This window comes from Homo sapiens, chromosome 1, assembly GCF_000001405.40.
Source record: "Homo sapiens chromosome 1, GRCh38.p14 Primary Assembly".
Classification (NCBI taxonomy): Eukaryota; Metazoa; Chordata; class Mammalia; order Primates; family Hominidae; genus Homo; species Homo sapiens.
This window is the reverse complement of record NC_000001.11, coordinates 145,365,912-145,384,310: the sequence shown is the minus strand read 5'-3', so window position 1 is coordinate 145,384,310 and position 18,399 is coordinate 145,365,912. Positions and strand designations below refer to the sequence as shown.

The 18,399-nt window shown below is 44.4% G+C and overlaps 1 protein-coding gene across 3 annotated transcripts in view; it reads left to right on the top strand.

The window, feature by feature from the left end:
- NBPF20 (NBPF member 20) overlaps positions 1-18,399 on the top strand; it is a 135,704-nt gene that overhangs the window by 41,293 nt on the left and 76,012 nt on the right. For 2 of the 3 annotated variants that reach the window (NM_001278267.1, NM_001397211.1), the window contains 23 exons: positions 569-741; positions 1,461-1,512; positions 2,121-2,293; positions 3,003-3,054; positions 3,699-3,871; positions 4,586-4,694; positions 5,325-5,497; positions 6,217-6,268; positions 6,873-7,045; positions 7,755-7,806; positions 8,451-8,623; positions 9,338-9,446; positions 10,075-10,247; positions 10,967-11,018; positions 11,627-11,799; positions 12,509-12,560; positions 13,199-13,371; positions 14,086-14,194; positions 14,823-14,995; positions 15,715-15,766; positions 16,375-16,547; positions 17,257-17,308; positions 17,959-18,131. In NM_001278267.1, coding sequence (NP_001265196.1) covers positions 569-741; positions 1,461-1,512; positions 2,121-2,293; positions 3,003-3,054; positions 3,699-3,871; positions 4,586-4,694; positions 5,325-5,497; positions 6,217-6,268; positions 6,873-7,045; positions 7,755-7,806; positions 8,451-8,623; positions 9,338-9,446; positions 10,075-10,247; positions 10,967-11,018; positions 11,627-11,799; positions 12,509-12,560; positions 13,199-13,371; positions 14,086-14,194; positions 14,823-14,995; positions 15,715-15,766; positions 16,375-16,547; positions 17,257-17,308; positions 17,959-18,131 — 2,819 coding nt within the window. The remainder of the gene's footprint in view (positions 1-568; positions 742-1,460; positions 1,513-2,120; positions 2,294-3,002; positions 3,055-3,698; positions 3,872-4,585; positions 4,695-5,324; positions 5,498-6,216; positions 6,269-6,872; positions 7,046-7,754; positions 7,807-8,450; positions 8,624-9,337; positions 9,447-10,074; positions 10,248-10,966; positions 11,019-11,626; positions 11,800-12,508; positions 12,561-13,198; positions 13,372-14,085; positions 14,195-14,822; positions 14,996-15,714; positions 15,767-16,374; positions 16,548-17,256; positions 17,309-17,958; positions 18,132-18,399) is intronic. The other variant, XM_047446015.1, reaches the window with a different exon arrangement.

Here is an 18,399-nt window from a genome sequence, read left to right as displayed (position 1 = left end):
GGGAAACCAGAGTGTGTTTGATGTCATGTTTTCAACGAAGGCTGAATTACTCCTACTGTCATTGCTGTTGGTTTTCATTGCAGTAGATGTTTAGGTTTCCATTTCTTCCTCCCCTTATCATTTCCTAACGTACCATAGGTTGACCATACTTCAAAAGCTGTACTCTCATGGCCACTGCATCGAATTTTGAGCATATTTTATGGAAAACTATTGAGCTCACTCTTTTCATGATCACAGTTTGCTGTGTGTCATGAGGGCACTAACTCAGAGTGTCCTTTTACTCCCTTACCAGTATGTCACCTGGCCAATTCACTAGGTCACTTTCTCTCTGTCTCTGTCTCTGTCTCTCTCTCTGTCTCTGTCTCTCTCTCTCTCTCTGTCTTTCTCTTTCATTGTTTTCTACCTGGCCCTGTTCTATCCCAACATAAAGGCAATAATTTGTTACCTCATTAATGGATCTGTCCTTTTTCTTTTCAAACTCTTCCTTACGTTAGCCATGAAATCTAGCTGGGGCTGTGTGGTTTCTGATTCCCCCTGGCTTATTCTTTACTTTTTCCCACTTTTCCAGGCTCAGCAGGGAGCTGCTGGATGAGAAAGGGCCTGAAGTCTTGCAGGACTCACTGGATAGAAGTTATTCAACTCCTTCAGGTTGTCTTGAACTGACTGACTCATGCCAGCCCTACAGAAGTGCCTTTTACGTATTGGAGCAACAGCGTGTTGGCTTGGCTGTTGACATGGATGGTGAGTACCTTTCTATGAAGGTGATAAGGATCCACTGAGTCTTCTGGTTAGGGTCATATTCCTACTGCAAGTGGCCCTTACTGAGCTGAGAGATGTCATTGCCACAGGGAGGTCCTATAGGCACATGTAGGTTGAATGAAACTCTAGTTCCACTTGGAAGCCCAGACAAGGGATGGGTCAGTGAGCAAGGCTCTCTTCCTAGTCTCAGGCCATGCCTGTGGCGCCCTAATCCTACTCTCATGACGTTGGACCTGGGCAGATGTGACAAATTCACACAACTCTGATTTTGTCTCAATTTTGTAGATCTTGTAGATTTCATCCTTCACTCTAATTTCAGCGTCTAAAATCCTCGCTACCGTGAACAATCTGAGTATTTGATGAGACAGGGCTGAATAGTGCAGTTTTTCTCCTAGCAACCATTTGGGGGCATTTGCTTTAAATCGATTGGAAAAATATGGCATAACCATTTGCACAAACTTGGGACAAATGATATTGGGATAACGATCTACCAGAATAGGGAATTTTACCCACAGTTTCTGGGACAAAAACCAAGGAATCTCTATGGTGATCAGCCTTCAGGCCTCCTGAAGACTATCTCTCACAGTGTCCTATTCTCATGCTGAGGAGCCTGAAGTCCCTGTGTGAGGATTAGACAGTGGATTGTTATGTGTGTAGGAGAACCAGCTTAATATGTCTGTCCATGTCTGAACTTATTGCAGAAATTGAAAAGTACCAAGAAGTGGAAGAAGACCAAGACCCATCATGCCCCAGGTAACTTTGAGCAATTATGGATGCTTAATTCTGTGTTGACACCTGGAGATGCCAGGTCCAGGGAAAACAAGAGTGTGTTCAATTTCATGTTTTCAACGAAGGTTGAATTACTCCTCCTGATATTGCTGTTGGTTTTCATTGCAGTAGATGTTTAGGTTTCCATTTCTTCCTCCCCTTATCATTTACTAACTTACTATAGGTTGACCATACCTCAAAGGCTGTATGGCAACTGCATGGAATCTTGAGCAAGTTTATGGAAAATTATTGAGCCCACTCTTTTCATGATCACTGTTCGCTGTGTGTCCCGAGGGCACTAACTCAGAGTGTCCTTTGACCCCTTCATCAGTGTGTCACCCGGCCAACTCGCTGAGCTTACTTTCTCCTCTCTCTCTCTCTCTCTCTCTCCCTCCCTCTCCCTGTCTTTCTCTTTCATTCTTTTCTACCTGGCCCTGGTCTATCCCAACATAAAGGCAATAATTCATTACCTCATTAATGGATCTGTCCTTTTTCTTTTTAAACAGTTCCTTATGTTAGCCATGAAATCTAGCTGGGGCTGTGTGGTTTCTGATTCCCCCTGGCTTATTCTTTACTTTTTCCTACTTTTCCAGGCTCAGCAGGGAGCTGCTGGATGAGAAAGAGCCTGAAGTCTTGCAGGACTCACTGGATAGATGTTATTCGACTCCTTCAGGTTATCTTGAACTGCCTGACTTAGGCCAGCCCTACAGCAGTGCTGTTTACTCATTGGAGGAACAGTACCTTGGCTTGGCTCTTGACGTGGACAGTGAGTACCTTACTGTGAAGGTGATAAGCCTCCACCTGGTCTTCCAGATAGGGGTGATATTCCTGTTCCAAGTGGCCCTTACTGACCCGAGAGATGTCATTGCCGCAGGCAGGACCTATGGGCGCATATAGGTTGTAATGAAACTGTAGTCTCAGTTGGAAGCCTAGACATGAAATGGGTCAGTGAGCAAGGCTCTATTCCTAGTCTCCAGCCATGCCTGTGGCAAGCTGAGCCCGCTCTCAGCACATTGGACCCAGGCAGATGTAAAAAATTCACAGAAGTATGATTTGGACTGAAGGGTTTGTAGATTTCCTCCTTCATTCTAATTTCAGTGTCTAAAATTCTTGCATCCATGAACGAGCTGGGCATTTGATGAGACAGGGCTGAATACTGCAGTTTTCCTCCTAGAAATCATCTGGGGCATTTTCTTTGAACTGATGGGAACAATAAGGCATAACTGTTTGCACAAACTTGGGATAAATGATTTTGGGATAACGATCTACCAGAATGGGGATATTTCACCCTTGGTTCTGAGATGCAAACCAAAGAATATCATGACCAGCTTTCAGGCCTCCTGAAGTATCTCTCTCACATTGTCCTGTTCTCATGCTGAGGAGCCTGAGATCCCTGTGTGGGGATTAGACAGTGGACTGTTATGGGTGTAGGTGAATTGGCTTATTTTGTCTGTCCCTGTCTGAATGTATTGCAGGAACTAAAAAGGACCAAGAAGAGGAAGAAGACCAAGGCCCACCATGCCCCAGGTAACTGAGCAATTGTGAACAGCTACTTCTGTGTTGACATCTGGAGACTCCTGGTTCAGGGAAAACAGAGCGGGCTGACATTATCGATTACATCTTTTCCAGCAAGCCTGAATTATTCCTACTAACATTGCTGTTGGTTTTCATTGCAGTAGATATTTAGGTTTCCATTTCTTCCTCCCCTTATCATTTACTAACCTACTGTAGGTGGACCAGACTTCAAAAACTGTATTCTCATGGCGACTGCATGGAAACTTGAGCACATTTTATGGAAAATTATTGAGCACAGTCTTTTCATGATCCCTGTATGCTGTGTGTCCTGAGGGCACTAACTCAGAGTGTCCTGTTACTCCCTCATCAGTGTGTCACCTGGACAATTCACTGAGCTCGTTCTCTGTGTGTGTGTGTGTGTGTCTGTGTGTGTGTGTGTGTGTGTGTGTGTGTGTGTGTCTATCTGTCTTTCTCTTTCATTCTTTTCCATTTGGCCCTGTTCTGTCCCAACATGAAGGCAATAATTTGTTACCTCATTAATGGATCTATCCTTTTAGTTTTTTAACCACTTCCCTATGCTACCCATGAAACCTAGTTGGGGCTCTGTTGTGTCTGATTTCCCCTGGCTTATTCTTTACTTTTTCCTCCTTTTCCAGGCTCAGCAGGGAGCTGCTGGAGGTAGTAGAGCCTGAAGTCTTGCAGGACTCACTGGATAGATGTTATTCAACTCCTTCCAGTTGTCTTGAACAGCCTGACTCCTGCCAGCCCTATGGAAGTTCCTTTTATGCATTGGAGGAAAAACATGTTGGCTTTTCTCTCGACGTGGGAGGTGAGTACCTTTCTATGAAGGTGATAAGGATCCACTGAGTCTTCCATATAAAGATCATATTCCTGCTCCAAGTGGCCATTACTGAGCTGAGAGATGTCATTGCCACAGGGAGGACCTATAGGCACATGTAGGTTGAATGAAACTCTAGTTCTACCTGGAAGCCCAGGCAAGGGATGGGTCAGTGAGCAAGACTCTCTTCCTAGTCTCAGGCCATACCTGTGGCGCCCTGATCCTATCCTCATGACATTGGACCTGGGCAGATGTGACAAATTCAGAGAACTATGATTTTGACTCAAGGGTTTGTAGATTTCCTTTTTCACTCTAATTTCAGTGTCTAAAGTCCTCACAACCATGAACAATCTGAGTATTTGATGAGACAGGGCTAAATATTGCAGTTTTTCTCCTAGAAATCATTTGAGGGTATTTGCTTTAAGTTGATTGGAAAAATATGGCATAACTGTTTGCACAAACTTGGGACAAATGATATTGGGATAACGATCTACTAGAATAGGGACATTTTACCCACAGTTTCTGGGAGAAAAACCGAGGAATTTCTATCATGACCAGCCTTCAGGCCTCCTGAAATATATCTCTCACGGTGTCCTATTCTTATGCTGAGGAGCCTGAGGTCCCTGTGTGAGGATTAGACAGTGGATTGTTATGTGTGTAGGGGAATCAGCTTAATGTGTCTGTCCATGTCTGAATTTATTGCAGAAATTGAAAAGAAGGGGAAGGGGAAGAAAAGAAGGGGAAGAAGATCAAAGAAGGAAAGAAGAAGGGGAAGAAAAGAAGGGGAAGAAGATCAAAACCCACCATGCCCCAGGTGACTTTCAGCAATTGTGGATGCTTAATTCTGTGTTAACACCTGGAGGCAACAGATTCAGGGAAACCAGAGTGTGTTTGATGTCATGTTTTCAACGAAGGCTGAATTACTCCTACTGTCATTGCTGTTGGTTTTCATTGCAGTAGATGTTTAGGTTTCCATTTCTTCCTCCCCTTATCATTTCCTAACGTACCATAGGTTGACCATACTTCAAAAGCTGTACTCTCATGGCCACTGCATCGAATTTTGAGCATATTTTATGGAAAACTATTGAGCTCACTCTTTTCATGATCACAGTTTGCTGTGTGTCATGAGGGCACTAACTCAGAGTGTCCTTTTACTCCCTTACCAGTATGTCACCTGGCCAATTCACTAGGTCACTTTCTCTCTGTCTCTGTCTCTGTCTCTCTCTCTCTGTCTCTGTCTCTCTCTCTCTCTCTGTCTTTCTCTTTCATTGTTTTCTACCTGGCCCTGTTCTATCCCAACATAAAGGCAATAATTTGTTACCTCATTAATGGATCTGTCCTTTTTCTTTTCAAACTCTTCCTTACGTTAGCCATGAAATCTAGCTGGGGCTGTGTGGTTTCTGATTCCCCCTGGCTTATTCTTTACTTTTTCCCACTTTTCCAGGCTCAGCAGGGAGCTGCTGGATGAGAAAGGGCCTGAAGTCTTGCAGGACTCACTGGATAGATGTTATTCAACTCCTTCAGGTTGTCTTGAACTGACTGACTCATGCCAGCCCTACAGAAGTGCCTTTTACGTATTGGAGCAACAGCGTGTTGGCTTGGCTGTTGACATGGATGGTGAGTACCTTTCTATGAAGGTGATAAGGATCCACTGAGTCTTCTGGTTAGGGTCATATTCCTACTGCAAGTGGCCCTTACTGAGCTGAGAGATGTCATTGCCACAGGGAGGTCCTATAGGCACATGTAGGTTGAATGAAACTCTAGTTCCACTTGGAAGCCCAGACAAGGGATGGGTCAGTGAGCAAGGCTCTCTTCCTAGTCTCAGGCCATGCCTGTGGCGCCCTAATCCTACTCTCATGACGTTGGACCTGGGCAGATGTGACAAATTCACACAACTCTGATTTTGTCTCAATTTTGTAGATCTTGTAGATTTCATCCTTCACTCTAATTTCAGTGTCTAAAATCCTCGCTACCGTGAACAATCTGAGTATTTGATGAGACAGGGCTGAATAGTGCAGTTTTTCTCCTAGCAACCATTTGGGGGCATTTGCTTTAAATCGATTGGAAAAATATGGCATAACCATTTGCACAAACTTGGGACAAATGATATTGGGATAACGATCTACCAGAATAGGGAATTTTACCCACAGTTTCTGGGACAAAAACCAAGGAATCTCTATCGTGATCAGCCTTCAGGCCTCCTGAAGACTATCTCTCACAGTGTCCTATTCTCATGCTGAGGAGCCTGAAGTCCCTGTGTGAGGATTAGACAGTGGATTGTTATGTGTGTAGGAGAACCAGCTTAATATGTCTGTCCATGTCTGAACTTATTGCAGAAATTGAAAAGTACCAAGAAGTGGAAGAAGACCAAGACCCATCATGCCCCAGGTAACTTTGAGCAATTATGGATGCTTAATTCTGTGTCGACACCTGGAGATGCCAGGTCCAGGGAAAACAAGAGTGTGTTCAATTTCATGTTTTCAACGAAGGTTGAATTACTCCTCCTGACATTGCTGTTGGTTTTCATTGCAGTAGATGTTTAGGTTTCCATTTCTTCCTCCCCTTATCATTTACTAACTTACTATAGGTTGACCATACCTCAAAGGCTGTATGGCAACTGCATGGAATCTTGAGCAAGTTTATGGAAAATTATTGAGCCCACTCTTTTCATGATCACTGTTCGCTGTGTGTCCCGAGGGCACTAACTCAGAGTGTCCTTTGACCCCTTCATCAGTGTGTCACCCGGCCAACTCGCTGAGCTCACTTTCTCCTCTCTCTCTCTCTCTCTCCCTCCCTCTCCCTGTCTTTCTCTTTCATTCTTTTCTACCTGGCCCTGGTCTATGCCAACATAAAGGCAATAATTCATTACCTCATTAATGGATCTGTCCTTTTTCTTTTTAAACAGTTCCTTATGTTAGCCATGAAATCTAGCTGGGGCTGTGTGGTTTCTGATTCCCCCTGGCTTATTCTTTACTTTTTCCTACTTTTCCAGGCTCAGCAGGGAGCTGCTGGATGAGAAAGAGCCTGAAGTCTTGCAGGACTCACTGGATAGATGTTATTCGACTCCTTCAGGTTATCTTGAACTGCCTGACTTAGGCCAGCCCTACAGCAGTGCTGTTTACTCATTGGAGGAACAGTACCTTGGCTTGGCTCTTGACGTGGACAGTGAGTACCTTACTGTGAAGGTGATAAGCCTCCACCTGGTCTTCCAGATAGGGGTGATATTCCTGTTCCAAGTGGCCCTTACTGACCCGAGAGATGTCATTGCCGCAGGCAGGACCTATGGGCGCATATAGGTTGTAATGAAACTGTAGTCTCAGTTGGAAGCCTAGACATGAAATGGGTCAGTGAGCAAGGCTCTATTCCTAGTCTCCAGCCATGCCTGTGGCAAGCTGAGCCCGCTCTCAGCACATTGGACCCAGGCAGATGTAAAAAATTCACAGAAGTATGATTTGGACTCAAGGGTTTGTAGATTTCCTCCTTCATTCTAATTTCAGTGTCTAAAATTCTTGCATCCATGAACGAGCTGGGCATTTGATGAGACAGGGCTGAATACTGCAGTTTTCCTCCTAGAAATCATCTGGGGCATTTTCTTTGAACTGATGGGAACAATAAGGCATAACTGTTTGCACAAACTTGGGATAAATGATTTTGGGATAACGATCTACCAGAATGGGGATATTTCACCCTTGGTTCTGAGATGCAAACCAAAGAATATCATGACCAGCTTTCAGGCCTCCTGAAGTATCTCTCTCACATTGTCCTGTTCTCATGCTGAGGAGCCTGAGATCCCTGTGTGGGGATTAGACAGTGGACTGTTATGGGTGTAGGTGAATTGGCTTATTTTGTCTGTCCCTGTCTGAATGTATTGCAGGAACTAAAAAGGACCAAGAAGAGGAAGAAGACCAAGGCCCACCATGCCCCAGGTAACTGAGCAATTGTGAACAGCTACTTCTGTGTTGACATCTGGAGACTCCTGGTTCAGGGAAAACAGAGCGGGCTGACATTATCGATTACATCTTTTCCAGCAAGCCTGAATTATTCCTACTAACATTGCTGTTGGTTTTCATTGCAGTAGATATTTAGGTTTCCATTTCTTCCTCCCCTTATCATTTACTAACCTACTGTAGGTGGACCAGACTTCAAAAACTGTATTCTCATGGCGACTGCATGGAAACTTGAGCACATTTTATGGAAAATTATTGAGCACAGTCTTTTCATGATCCCTGTATGCTGTGTGTCCTGAGGGCACTAACTCAGAGTGTCCTGTTACTCCCTCATCAGTGTGTCACCTGGACAATTCACTGAGCTCGTTCTCTCTGTGTGTGTGTGTGTGTCTGTGTGTGTGTGTGTGTGTGTGTGTGTGTGTGTGTCTATCTGTCTTTCTCTTTCATTCTTTTCCATTTGGCCCTGTTCTGTCCCAACATGAAGGCAATAATTTGTTACCTCATTAATGGATCTATCCTTTTAGTTTTTTAACCACTTCCCTATGCTACCCATGAAACCTAGTTGGGGCTCTGTTGTGTCTGATTTCCCCTGGCTTATTCTTTACTTTTTCCTCCTTTTCCAGGCTCAGCAGGGAGCTGCTGGAGGTAGTAGAGCCTGAAGTCTTGCAGGACTCACTGGATAGATGTTATTCAACTCCTTCCAGTTGTCTTGAACAGCCTGACTCCTGCCAGCCCTATGGAAGTTCCTTTTATGCATTGGAGGAAAAACATGTTGGCTTTTCTCTTGACGTGGGAGGTGAGTACCTTTCTATGAAGGTGATAAGGATCCACTGAGTCTTCCATATAAAGATCATATTCCTGCTCCAAGTGGCCATTACTGAGCTGAGAGATGTCATTGCCACAGGGAGGACCTATAGGCACATGTAGGTTGAATGAAACTCTAGTTCTACCTGGAAGCCCAGGCAAGGGATGGGTCAGTGAGCAAGACTCTCTTCCTAGTCTCAGGCCATACCTGTGGCGCCCTGATCCTATCCTCATGACATTGGACCTGGGCAGATGTGACAAATTCAGAGAACTATGATTTTGACTCAAGGGTTTGTAGATTTCCTTTTTCACTCTAATTTCAGTGTCTAAAGTCCTCACAACCATGAACAATCTGAGTATTTGATGAGACAGGGCTAAATATTGCAGTTTTTCTCCTAGAAATCATTTGAGGGTATTTGCTTTAAGTTGATTGGAAAAATATGGCATAACTGTTTGCACAAACTTGGGACAAATGATATTGGGATAACGATCTACTAGAATAGGGACATTTTACCCACAGTTTCTGGGAGAAAAACCGAGGAATTTCTATCATGACCAGCCTTCAGGCCTCCTGAAATATATCTCTCACGGTGTCCTATTCTTATGCTGAGGAGCCTGAGGTCCCTGTGTGAGGATTAGACAGTGGATTGTTATGTGTGTAGGGGAATCAGCTTAATGTGTCTGTCCATGTCTGAATTTATTGCAGAAATTGAAAAGAAGGGGAAGGGGAAGAAAAGAAGGGGAAGAAGATCAAAGAAGGAAAGAAGAAGGGGAAGAAAAGAAGGGGAAGAAGATCAAAACCCACCATGCCCCAGGTGACTTTCAGCAATTGTGGATGCTTAATTCTGTGTTAACACCTGGAGGCAACAGATTCAGGGAAACCAGAGTGTGTTTGATGTCATGTTTTCAACGAAGGCTGAATTACTCCTACTGTCATTGCTGTTGGTTTTCATTGCAGTAGATGTTTAGGTTTCCATTTCTTCCTCCCCTTATCATTTCCTAACGTACCATAGGTTGACCATACTTCAAAAGCTGTACTCTCATGGCCACTGCATCGAATTTTGAGCATATTTTATGGAAAACTATTGAGCTCACTCTTTTCATGATCACAGTTTGCTGTGTGTCATGAGGGCACTAACTCAGAGTGTCCTTTTACTCCCTTACCAGTATGTCACCTGGCCAATTCACTAGGTCACTTTCTCTCTGTCTCTGTCTCTGTCTCTCTCTCTGTCTCTGTCTCTCTCTCTCTCTCTGTCTTTCTCTTTCATTGTTTTCTACCTGGCCCTGTTCTATCCCAACATAAAGGCAATAATTTGTTACCTCATTAATGGATCTGTCCTTTTTCTTTTCAAACTCTTCCTTACGTTAGCCATGAAATCTAGCTGGGGCTGTGTGGTTTCTGATTCCCCCTGGCTTATTCTTTACTTTTTCCCACTTTTCCAGGCTCAGCAGGGAGCTGCTGGATGAGAAAGGGCCTGAAGTCTTGCAGGACTCACTGGATAGAAGTTATTCAACTCCTTCAGGTTGTCTTGAACTGACTGACTCATGCCAGCCCTACAGAAGTGCCTTTTACGTATTGGAGCAACAGCGTGTTGGCTTGGCTGTTGACATGGATGGTGAGTACCTTTCTATGAAGGTGATAAGGATCCACTGAGTCTTCTGGTTAGGGTCATATTCCTACTGCAAGTGGCCCTTACTGAGCTGAGAGATGTCATTGCCACAGGGAGGTCCTATAGGCACATGTAGGTTGAATGAAACTCTAGTTCCACTTGGAAGCCCAGACAAGGGATGGGTCAGTGAGCAAGGCTCTCTTCCTAGTCTCAGGCCATGCCTGTGGCGCCCTAATCCTACTCTCATGACGTTGGACCTGGGCAGATGTGACAAATTCACACAACTCTGATTTTGTCTCAATTTTGTAGATCTTGTAGATTTCATCCTTCACTCTAATTTCAGCGTCTAAAATCCTCGCTACCGTGAACAATCTGAGTATTTGATGAGACAGGGCTGAATAGTGCAGTTTTTCTCCTAGCAACCATTTGGGGGCATTTGCTTTAAATCGATTGGAAAAATATGGCATAACCATTTGCACAAACTTGGGACAAATGATATTGGGATAACGATCTACCAGAATAGGGAATTTTACCCACAGTTTCTGGGACAAAAACCAAGGAATCTCTATGGTGATCAGCCTTCAGGCCTCCTGAAGACTATCTCTCACAGTGTCCTATTCTCATGCTGAGGAGCCTGAAGTCCCTGTGTGAGGATTAGACAGTGGATTGTTATGTGTGTAGGAGAACCAGCTTAATATGTCTGTCCATGTCTGAACTTATTGCAGAAATTGAAAAGTACCAAGAAGTGGAAGAAGACCAAGACCCATCATGCCCCAGGTAACTTTGAGCAATTATGGATGCTTAATTCTGTGTTGACACCTGGAGATGCCAGGTCCAGGGAAAACAAGAGTGTGTTCAATTTCATGTTTTCAACGAAGGTTGAATTACTCCTCCTGATATTGCTGTTGGTTTTCATTGCAGTAGATGTTTAGGTTTCCATTTCTTCCTCCCCTTATCATTTACTAACTTACTATAGGTTGACCATACCTCAAAGGCTGTATGGCAACTGCATGGAATCTTGAGCAAGTTTATGGAAAATTATTGAGCCCACTCTTTTCATGATCACTGTTCGCTGTGTGTCCCGAGGGCACTAACTCAGAGTGTCCTTTGACCCCTTCATCAGTGTGTCACCCGGCCAACTCGCTGAGCTTACTTTCTCCTCTCTCTCTCTCTCTCTCTCTCCCTCCCTCTCCCTGTCTTTCTCTTTCATTCTTTTCTACCTGGCCCTGGTCTATCCCAACATAAAGGCAATAATTCATTACCTCATTAATGGATCTGTCCTTTTTCTTTTTAAACAGTTCCTTATGTTAGCCATGAAATCTAGCTGGGGCTGTGTGGTTTCTGATTCCCCCTGGCTTATTCTTTACTTTTTCCTACTTTTCCAGGCTCAGCAGGGAGCTGCTGGATGAGAAAGAGCCTGAAGTCTTGCAGGACTCACTGGATAGATGTTATTCGACTCCTTCAGGTTATCTTGAACTGCCTGACTTAGGCCAGCCCTACAGCAGTGCTGTTTACTCATTGGAGGAACAGTACCTTGGCTTGGCTCTTGACGTGGACAGTGAGTATCTTACTGTGAAGGTGATAAGCCTCCACCTGGTCTTCCAGATAGGGGTGATATTCCTGTTCCAAGTGGCCCTTACTGACCCGAGAGATGTCATTGCCGCAGGCAGGACCTATGGGCGCATATAGGTTGTAATGAAACTGTAGTCTCAGTTGGAAGCCTAGACATGAAATGGGTCAGTGAGCAAGGCTCTATTCCTAGTCTCCAGCCATGCCTGTGGCAAGCTGAGCCCGCTCTCAGCACATTGGACCCAGGCAGACGTAAAAAATTCACAGAACTATGATTTGGACTCAAGGGTTTGTAGATTTCCTCCTTCATTCTAATTTCAGTGTCTAAAATTCTTGCATCCATGAACGAGCTGGGCATTTGATGAGACAGGGCTGAATACTGCAGTTTTCCTCCTAGAAATCATCTGGGGCATTTTCTTTGAACTGATGGGAACAATAAGGCATAACTGTTTGCACAAACTTGGGATAAATGATTTTGGGATAACGATCTACCAGAATGGGGATATTTCACCCTTGGTTCTGAGATGCAAACCAAAGAATATCATGACCAGCTTTCAGGCCTCCTGAAGTATCTCTCTCACATTGTCCTGTTCTCATGCTGAGGAGCCTGAGATCCCTGTGTGGGGATTAGACAGTGGACTGTTATGGGTGTAGGTGAATTGGCTTATTTTGTCTGTCCCTGTCTGAATGTATTGCAGGAACTAAAAAGGACCAAGAAGAGGAAGAAGACCAAGGCCCACCATGCCCCAGGTAACTGAGCAATTGTGAACAGCTACTTCTGTGTTGACATCTGGAGACTCCTGGTTCAGGGAAAACAGAGCGGGCTGACATTATCGATTACATCTTTTCCAGCAAGCCTGAATTATTCCTACTAACATTGCTGTTGGTTTTCATTGCAGTAGATATTTAGGTTTCCATTTCTTCCTCCCCTTATCATTTACTAACCTACTGTAGGTGGACCAGACTTCAAAAACTGTATTCTCATGGCGACTGCATGGAAACTTGAGCACATTTTATGGAAAATTATTGAGCACAGTCTTTTCATGATCCCTGTATGCTGTGTGTCCTGAGGGCACTAACTCAGAGTGTCCTGTTACTCCCTCATCAGTGTGTCACCTGGACAATTCACTGAGCTCGTTCTCTCTCTCTCTGTGTGTGTGTGTGTGTGTGTGTGTGTGTGTGTGTGTGTGTCTATCTGTCTTTCTCTTTCATTCTTTTCCATTTGGCCCTGTTCTGTCCCAACATGAAGGCAATAATTTGTTACCTCATTAATGGATCTATCCTTTTAGTTTTTTAACCACTTCCCTATGCTACCCATGAAACCTAGTTGGGGCTCTGTTGTGTCTGATTTCCCCTGGCTTATTCTTTACTTTTTCCTCCTTTTCCAGGCTCAGCAGGGAGCTGCTGGAGGTAGTAGAGCCTGAAGTCTTGCAGGACTCACTGGATAGATGTTATTCAACTCCTTCCAGTTGTCTTGAACAGCCTGACTCCTGCCAGCCCTATGGAAGTTCCTTTTATGCATTGGAGGAAAAACATGTTGGCTTTTCTCTCGACGTGGGAGGTGAGTACCTTTCTATGAAGGTGATAAGGATCCACTGAGTCTTCCATATAAAGATCATATTCCTGCTCCAAGTGGCCATTACTGAGCTGAGAGATGTCATTGCCACAGGGAGGACCTATAGGCACATGTAGGTTGAATGAAACTCTAGTTCTACCTGGAAGCCCAGGCAAGGGATGGGTCAGTGAGCAAGACTCTCTTCCTAGTCTCAGGCCATACCTGTGGCGCCCTGATCCTATCCTCATGACATTGGACCTGGGCAGATGTGACAAATTCAGAGAACTATGATTTTGACTCAAGGGTTTGTAGATTTCCTTTTTCACTCTAATTTCAGTGTCTAAAGTCCTCACAACCATGAACAATCTGAGTATTTGATGAGACAGGGCTAAATATTGCAGTTTTTCTCCTAGAAATCATTTGAGGGTATTTGCTTTAAGTTGATTGGAAAAATATGGCATAACTGTTTGCACAAACTTGGGACAAATGATATTGGGATAACGATCTACTAGAATAGGGACATTTTACCCACAGTTTCTGGGAGAAAAACCGAGGAATTTCTATCATGACCAGCCTTCAGGCCTCCTGAAATATATCTCTCACGGTGTCCTATTCTTATGCTGAGGAGCCTGAGGTCCCTGTGTGAGGATTAGACAGTGGATTGTTATGTGTGTAGGGGAATCAGCTTAATGTGTCTGTCCATGTCTGAATTTATTGCAGAAATTGAAAAGAAGGGGAAGGGGAAGAAAAGAAGGGGAAGAAGATCAAAGAAGGAAAGAAGAAGGGGAAGAAAAGAAGGGGAAGAAGATCAAAACCCACCATGCCCCAGGTGACTTTCAGCAATTGTGGATGCTTAATTCTGTGTTAACACCTGGAGGCAACAGATTCAGGGAAACCAGAGTGTGTTTGATGTCATGTTTTCAACGAAGGCTGAATTACTCCTACTGTCATTGCTGTTGGTTTTCATTGCAGTAGATGTTTAGGTTTCCATTTCTTCCTCCCCTTATCATTTCCTAACGTACCATAGGTTGACCATACTTCAAAAGCTGTACTCTCATGGCCACTGCATCGAATTTTGAGCATATTTTATGGAAAACTATTGAGCTCACTCTTTTCATGATCACAGTTTGCTGTGTGTCATGAGGGCACTAACTCAGAGTGTCCTTTTACTCCCTTACCAGTATGTCACCTGGCCAATTCACTAGGTCACTTTCTCTCTGTCTCTGTCTCTGTCTCTCTCTCTGTCTCTGTCTCTCTCTCTCTCTCTGTCTTTCTCTTTCATTGTTTTCTACCTGGCCCTGTTCTATCCCAACATAAAGGCAATAATTTGTTACCTCATTAATGGATCTGTCCTTTTTCTTTTCAAACTCTTCCTTACGTTAGCCATGAAATCTAGCTGGGGCTGTGTGGTTTCTGATTCCCCCTGGCTTATTCTTTACTTTTTCCCACTTTTCCAGGCTCAGCAGGGAGCTGCTGGATGAGAAAGGGCCTGAAGTCTTGCAGGACTCACTGGATAGAAGTTATTCAACTCCTTCAGGTTGTCTTGAACTGACTGACTCATGCCAGCCCTACAGAAGTGCCTTTTACGTATTGGAGCAACAGCGTGTTGGCTTGGCTGTTGACATGGATGGTGAGTACCTTTCTATGAAGGTGATAAGGATCCACTGAGTCTTCTGGTTAGGGTCATATTCCTACTGCAAGTGGCCCTTACTGAGCTGAGAGATGTCATTGCCACAGGGAGGTCCTATAGGCACATGTAGGTTGAATGAAACTCTAGTTCCACTTGGAAGCCCAGACAAGGGATGGGTCAGTGAGCAAGGCTCTCTTCCTAGTCTCAGGCCATGCCTGTGGCGCCCTAATCCTACTCTCATGACGTTGGACCTGGGCAGATGTGACAAATTCACACAACTCTGATTTTGTCTCAATTTTGTAGATCTTGTAGATTTCATCCTTCACTCTAATTTCAGCGTCTAAAATCCTCGCTACCGTGAACAATCTGAGTATTTGATGAGACAGGGCTGAATAGTGCAGTTTTTCTCCTAGCAACCATTTGGGGGCATTTGCTTTAAATCGATTGGAAAAATATGGCATAACCATTTGCACAAACTTGGGACAAATGATATTGGGATAACGATCTACCAGAATAGGGAATTTTACCCACAGTTTCTGGGACAAAAACCAAGGAATCTCTATGGTGATCAGCCTTCAGGCCTCCTGAAGACTATCTCTCACAGTGTCCTATTCTCATGCTGAGGAGCCTGAAGTCCCCGTGTGAGGATTAGACAGTGGATTGTTATGTGTGTAGGAGAACCAGCTTAATATGTCTGTCCATGTCTGAACTTATTGCAGAAATTGAAAAGTACCAAGAAGTGGAAGAAGACCAAGACCCATCATGCCCCAGGTAACTTTGAGCAATTATGGATGCTTAATTCTGTGTTGACACCTGGAGATGCCAGGTCCAGGGAAAACAAGAGTGTGTTCAATTTCATGTTTTCAACGAAGGTTGAATTACTCCTCCTGATATTGCTGTTGGTTTTCATTGCAGTAGATGTTTAGGTTTCCATTTCTTCCTCCCCTTATCATTTACTAACTTACTATAGGTTGACCATACCTCAAAGGCTGTATGGCAACTGCATGGAATCTTGAGCAAGTTTATGGAAAATTATTGAGCCCACTCTTTTCATGATCACTGTTCGCTGTGTGTCCCGAGGGCACTAACTCAGAGTGTCCTTTGACCCCTTCATCAGTGTGTCACCCGGCCAACTCGCTGAGCTTACTTTCTCCTCTCTCTCTCTCTCTCTCTCTCCCTCCCTCTCCCTGTCTTTCTCTTTCATTCTTTTCTACCTGGCCCTGGTCTATCCCAACATAAAGGCAATAATTCATTACCTCATTAATGGATCTGTCCTTTTTCTTTTTAAACAGTTCCTTATGTTAGCCATGAAATCTAGCTGGGGCTGTGTGGTTTCTGATTCCCCCTGGCTTATTCTTTACTTTTTCCTACTTTTCCAGGCTCAGCAGGGAGCTGCTGGATGAGAAAGAGCCTGAAGTCTTGCAGGACTCACTGGATAGATGTTATTCGACTCCTTCAGGTTATCTTGAACTGCCTGACTTAGGCCAGCCCTACAGCAGTGCTGTTTACTCATTGGAGGAACAGTACCTTGGCTTGGCTCTTGACGTGGACAGTGAGTACCTTACTGTGAAGGTGATAAGCCTCCACCTGGTCTTCCAGATAGGGGTGATATTCCTGTTCCAAGTGGCCCTTACTGACCCGAGAGATGTCATTGCCGCAGGCAGGACCTATGGGCGCATATAGGTTGTAATGAAACTGTAGTCTCAGTTGGAAGCCTAGACATGAAATGGGTCAGTGAGCAAGGCTCTATTCCTAGTCTCCAGCCATGCCTGTGGCAAGCTGAGCCCGCTCTCAGCACATTGGACCCAGGCAGATGTAAAAAATTCACAGAAGTATGATTTGGACTGAAGGGTTTGTAGATTTCCTCCTTCATTCTAATTTCAGTGTCTAAAATTCTTGCATCCATGAACGAGCTGGGCATTTGATGAGACAGGGCTGAATACTGCAGTTTTCCTCCTAGAAATCATCTGGGGCATTTTCTTTGAACTGATGGGAACAATAAGGCATAACTGTTTGCACAAACTTGGGATAAATGATTTTGGGATAACGATCTACCAGAATGGGGATATTTCACCCTTGGTTCTGAGATGCAAACCAAAGAATATCATGACCAGCTTTCAGGCCTCCTGAAGTATCTCTCTCACATTGTCCTGTTCTCATGCTGAGGAGCCTGAGATCCCTGTGTGGGGATTAGACAGTGGACTGTTATGGGTGTAGGTGAATTGGCTTATTTTGTCTGTCCCTGTCTGAATGTATTGCAGGAACTAAAAAGGACCAAGAAGAGGAAGAAGACCAAGGCCCACCATGCCCCAGGTAACTGAGCAATTGTGAACAGCTACTTCTGTGTTGACATCTGGAGACTCCTGGTTCAGGGAAAACAGAGCGGGCTGACATTATCGATTACATCTTTTCCAGCAAGCCTGAATTATTCCTACTAACATTGCTGTTGGTTTTCATTGCAGTAGATATTTAGGTTTCCATTTCTTCCTCCCCTTATCATTTACTAACCTACTGTAGGTGGACCAGACTTCAAAAACTGTATTCTCATGGCGACTGCATGGAAACTTGAGCACATTTTATGGAAAATTATTGAGCACAGTCTTTTCATGATCCCTGTATGCTGTGTGTCCTGAGGGCACTAACTCAGAGTGTCCTGTTACTCCCTCATCAGTGTGTCACCTGGACAATTCACTGAGCTCGTTCTCTCTGTGTGTGTGTGTGTGTCTGTGTGTGTGTGTGTGTGTGTGTGTGTGTGTGTGTGTGTGTCTATCTGTCTTTCTCTTTCATTCTTTTCCATTTGGCCCTGTTCTGTCCCAACATGAAGGCAATAATTTGTTACCTCATTAATGGATCTATCCTTTTAGTTTTTTAACCACTTCCCTATGCTACCCATGAAACCTAGTTGGGGCTCTGTTGTGTCTGATTTCCCCTGGCTTATTCTTTACTTTTTCCTCCTTTTCCAGGCTCAGCAGGGAGCTGCTGGAGGTAGTAGAGCCTGAAGTCTTGCAGGACTCACTGGATAGATGTTATTCAACTCCTTCCAGTTGTCTTGAACAGCCTGACTCCTGCCAGCCCTATGGAAGTTCCTTTTATGCATTGGAGGAAAAACATGTTGGCTTTTCTCTCGACGTGGGAGGTGAGTACCTTTCTATGAAGGTGATAAGGATCCACTGAGTCTTCCATATAAAGATCATATTCCTGCTCCAAGTGGCCATTACTGAGCTGAGAGATGTCATTGCCACAGGGAGGACCTATAGGCACATGTAGGTTGAATGAAACTCTAGTTCTACCTGGAAGCCCAGGCAAGGGATGGGTCAGTGAGCAAGACTCTCTTCCTAGTCTCAGGCCATACCTGTGGCGCCCTGATCCTATCCTCATGACATTGGACCTGGGCAGATGTGACA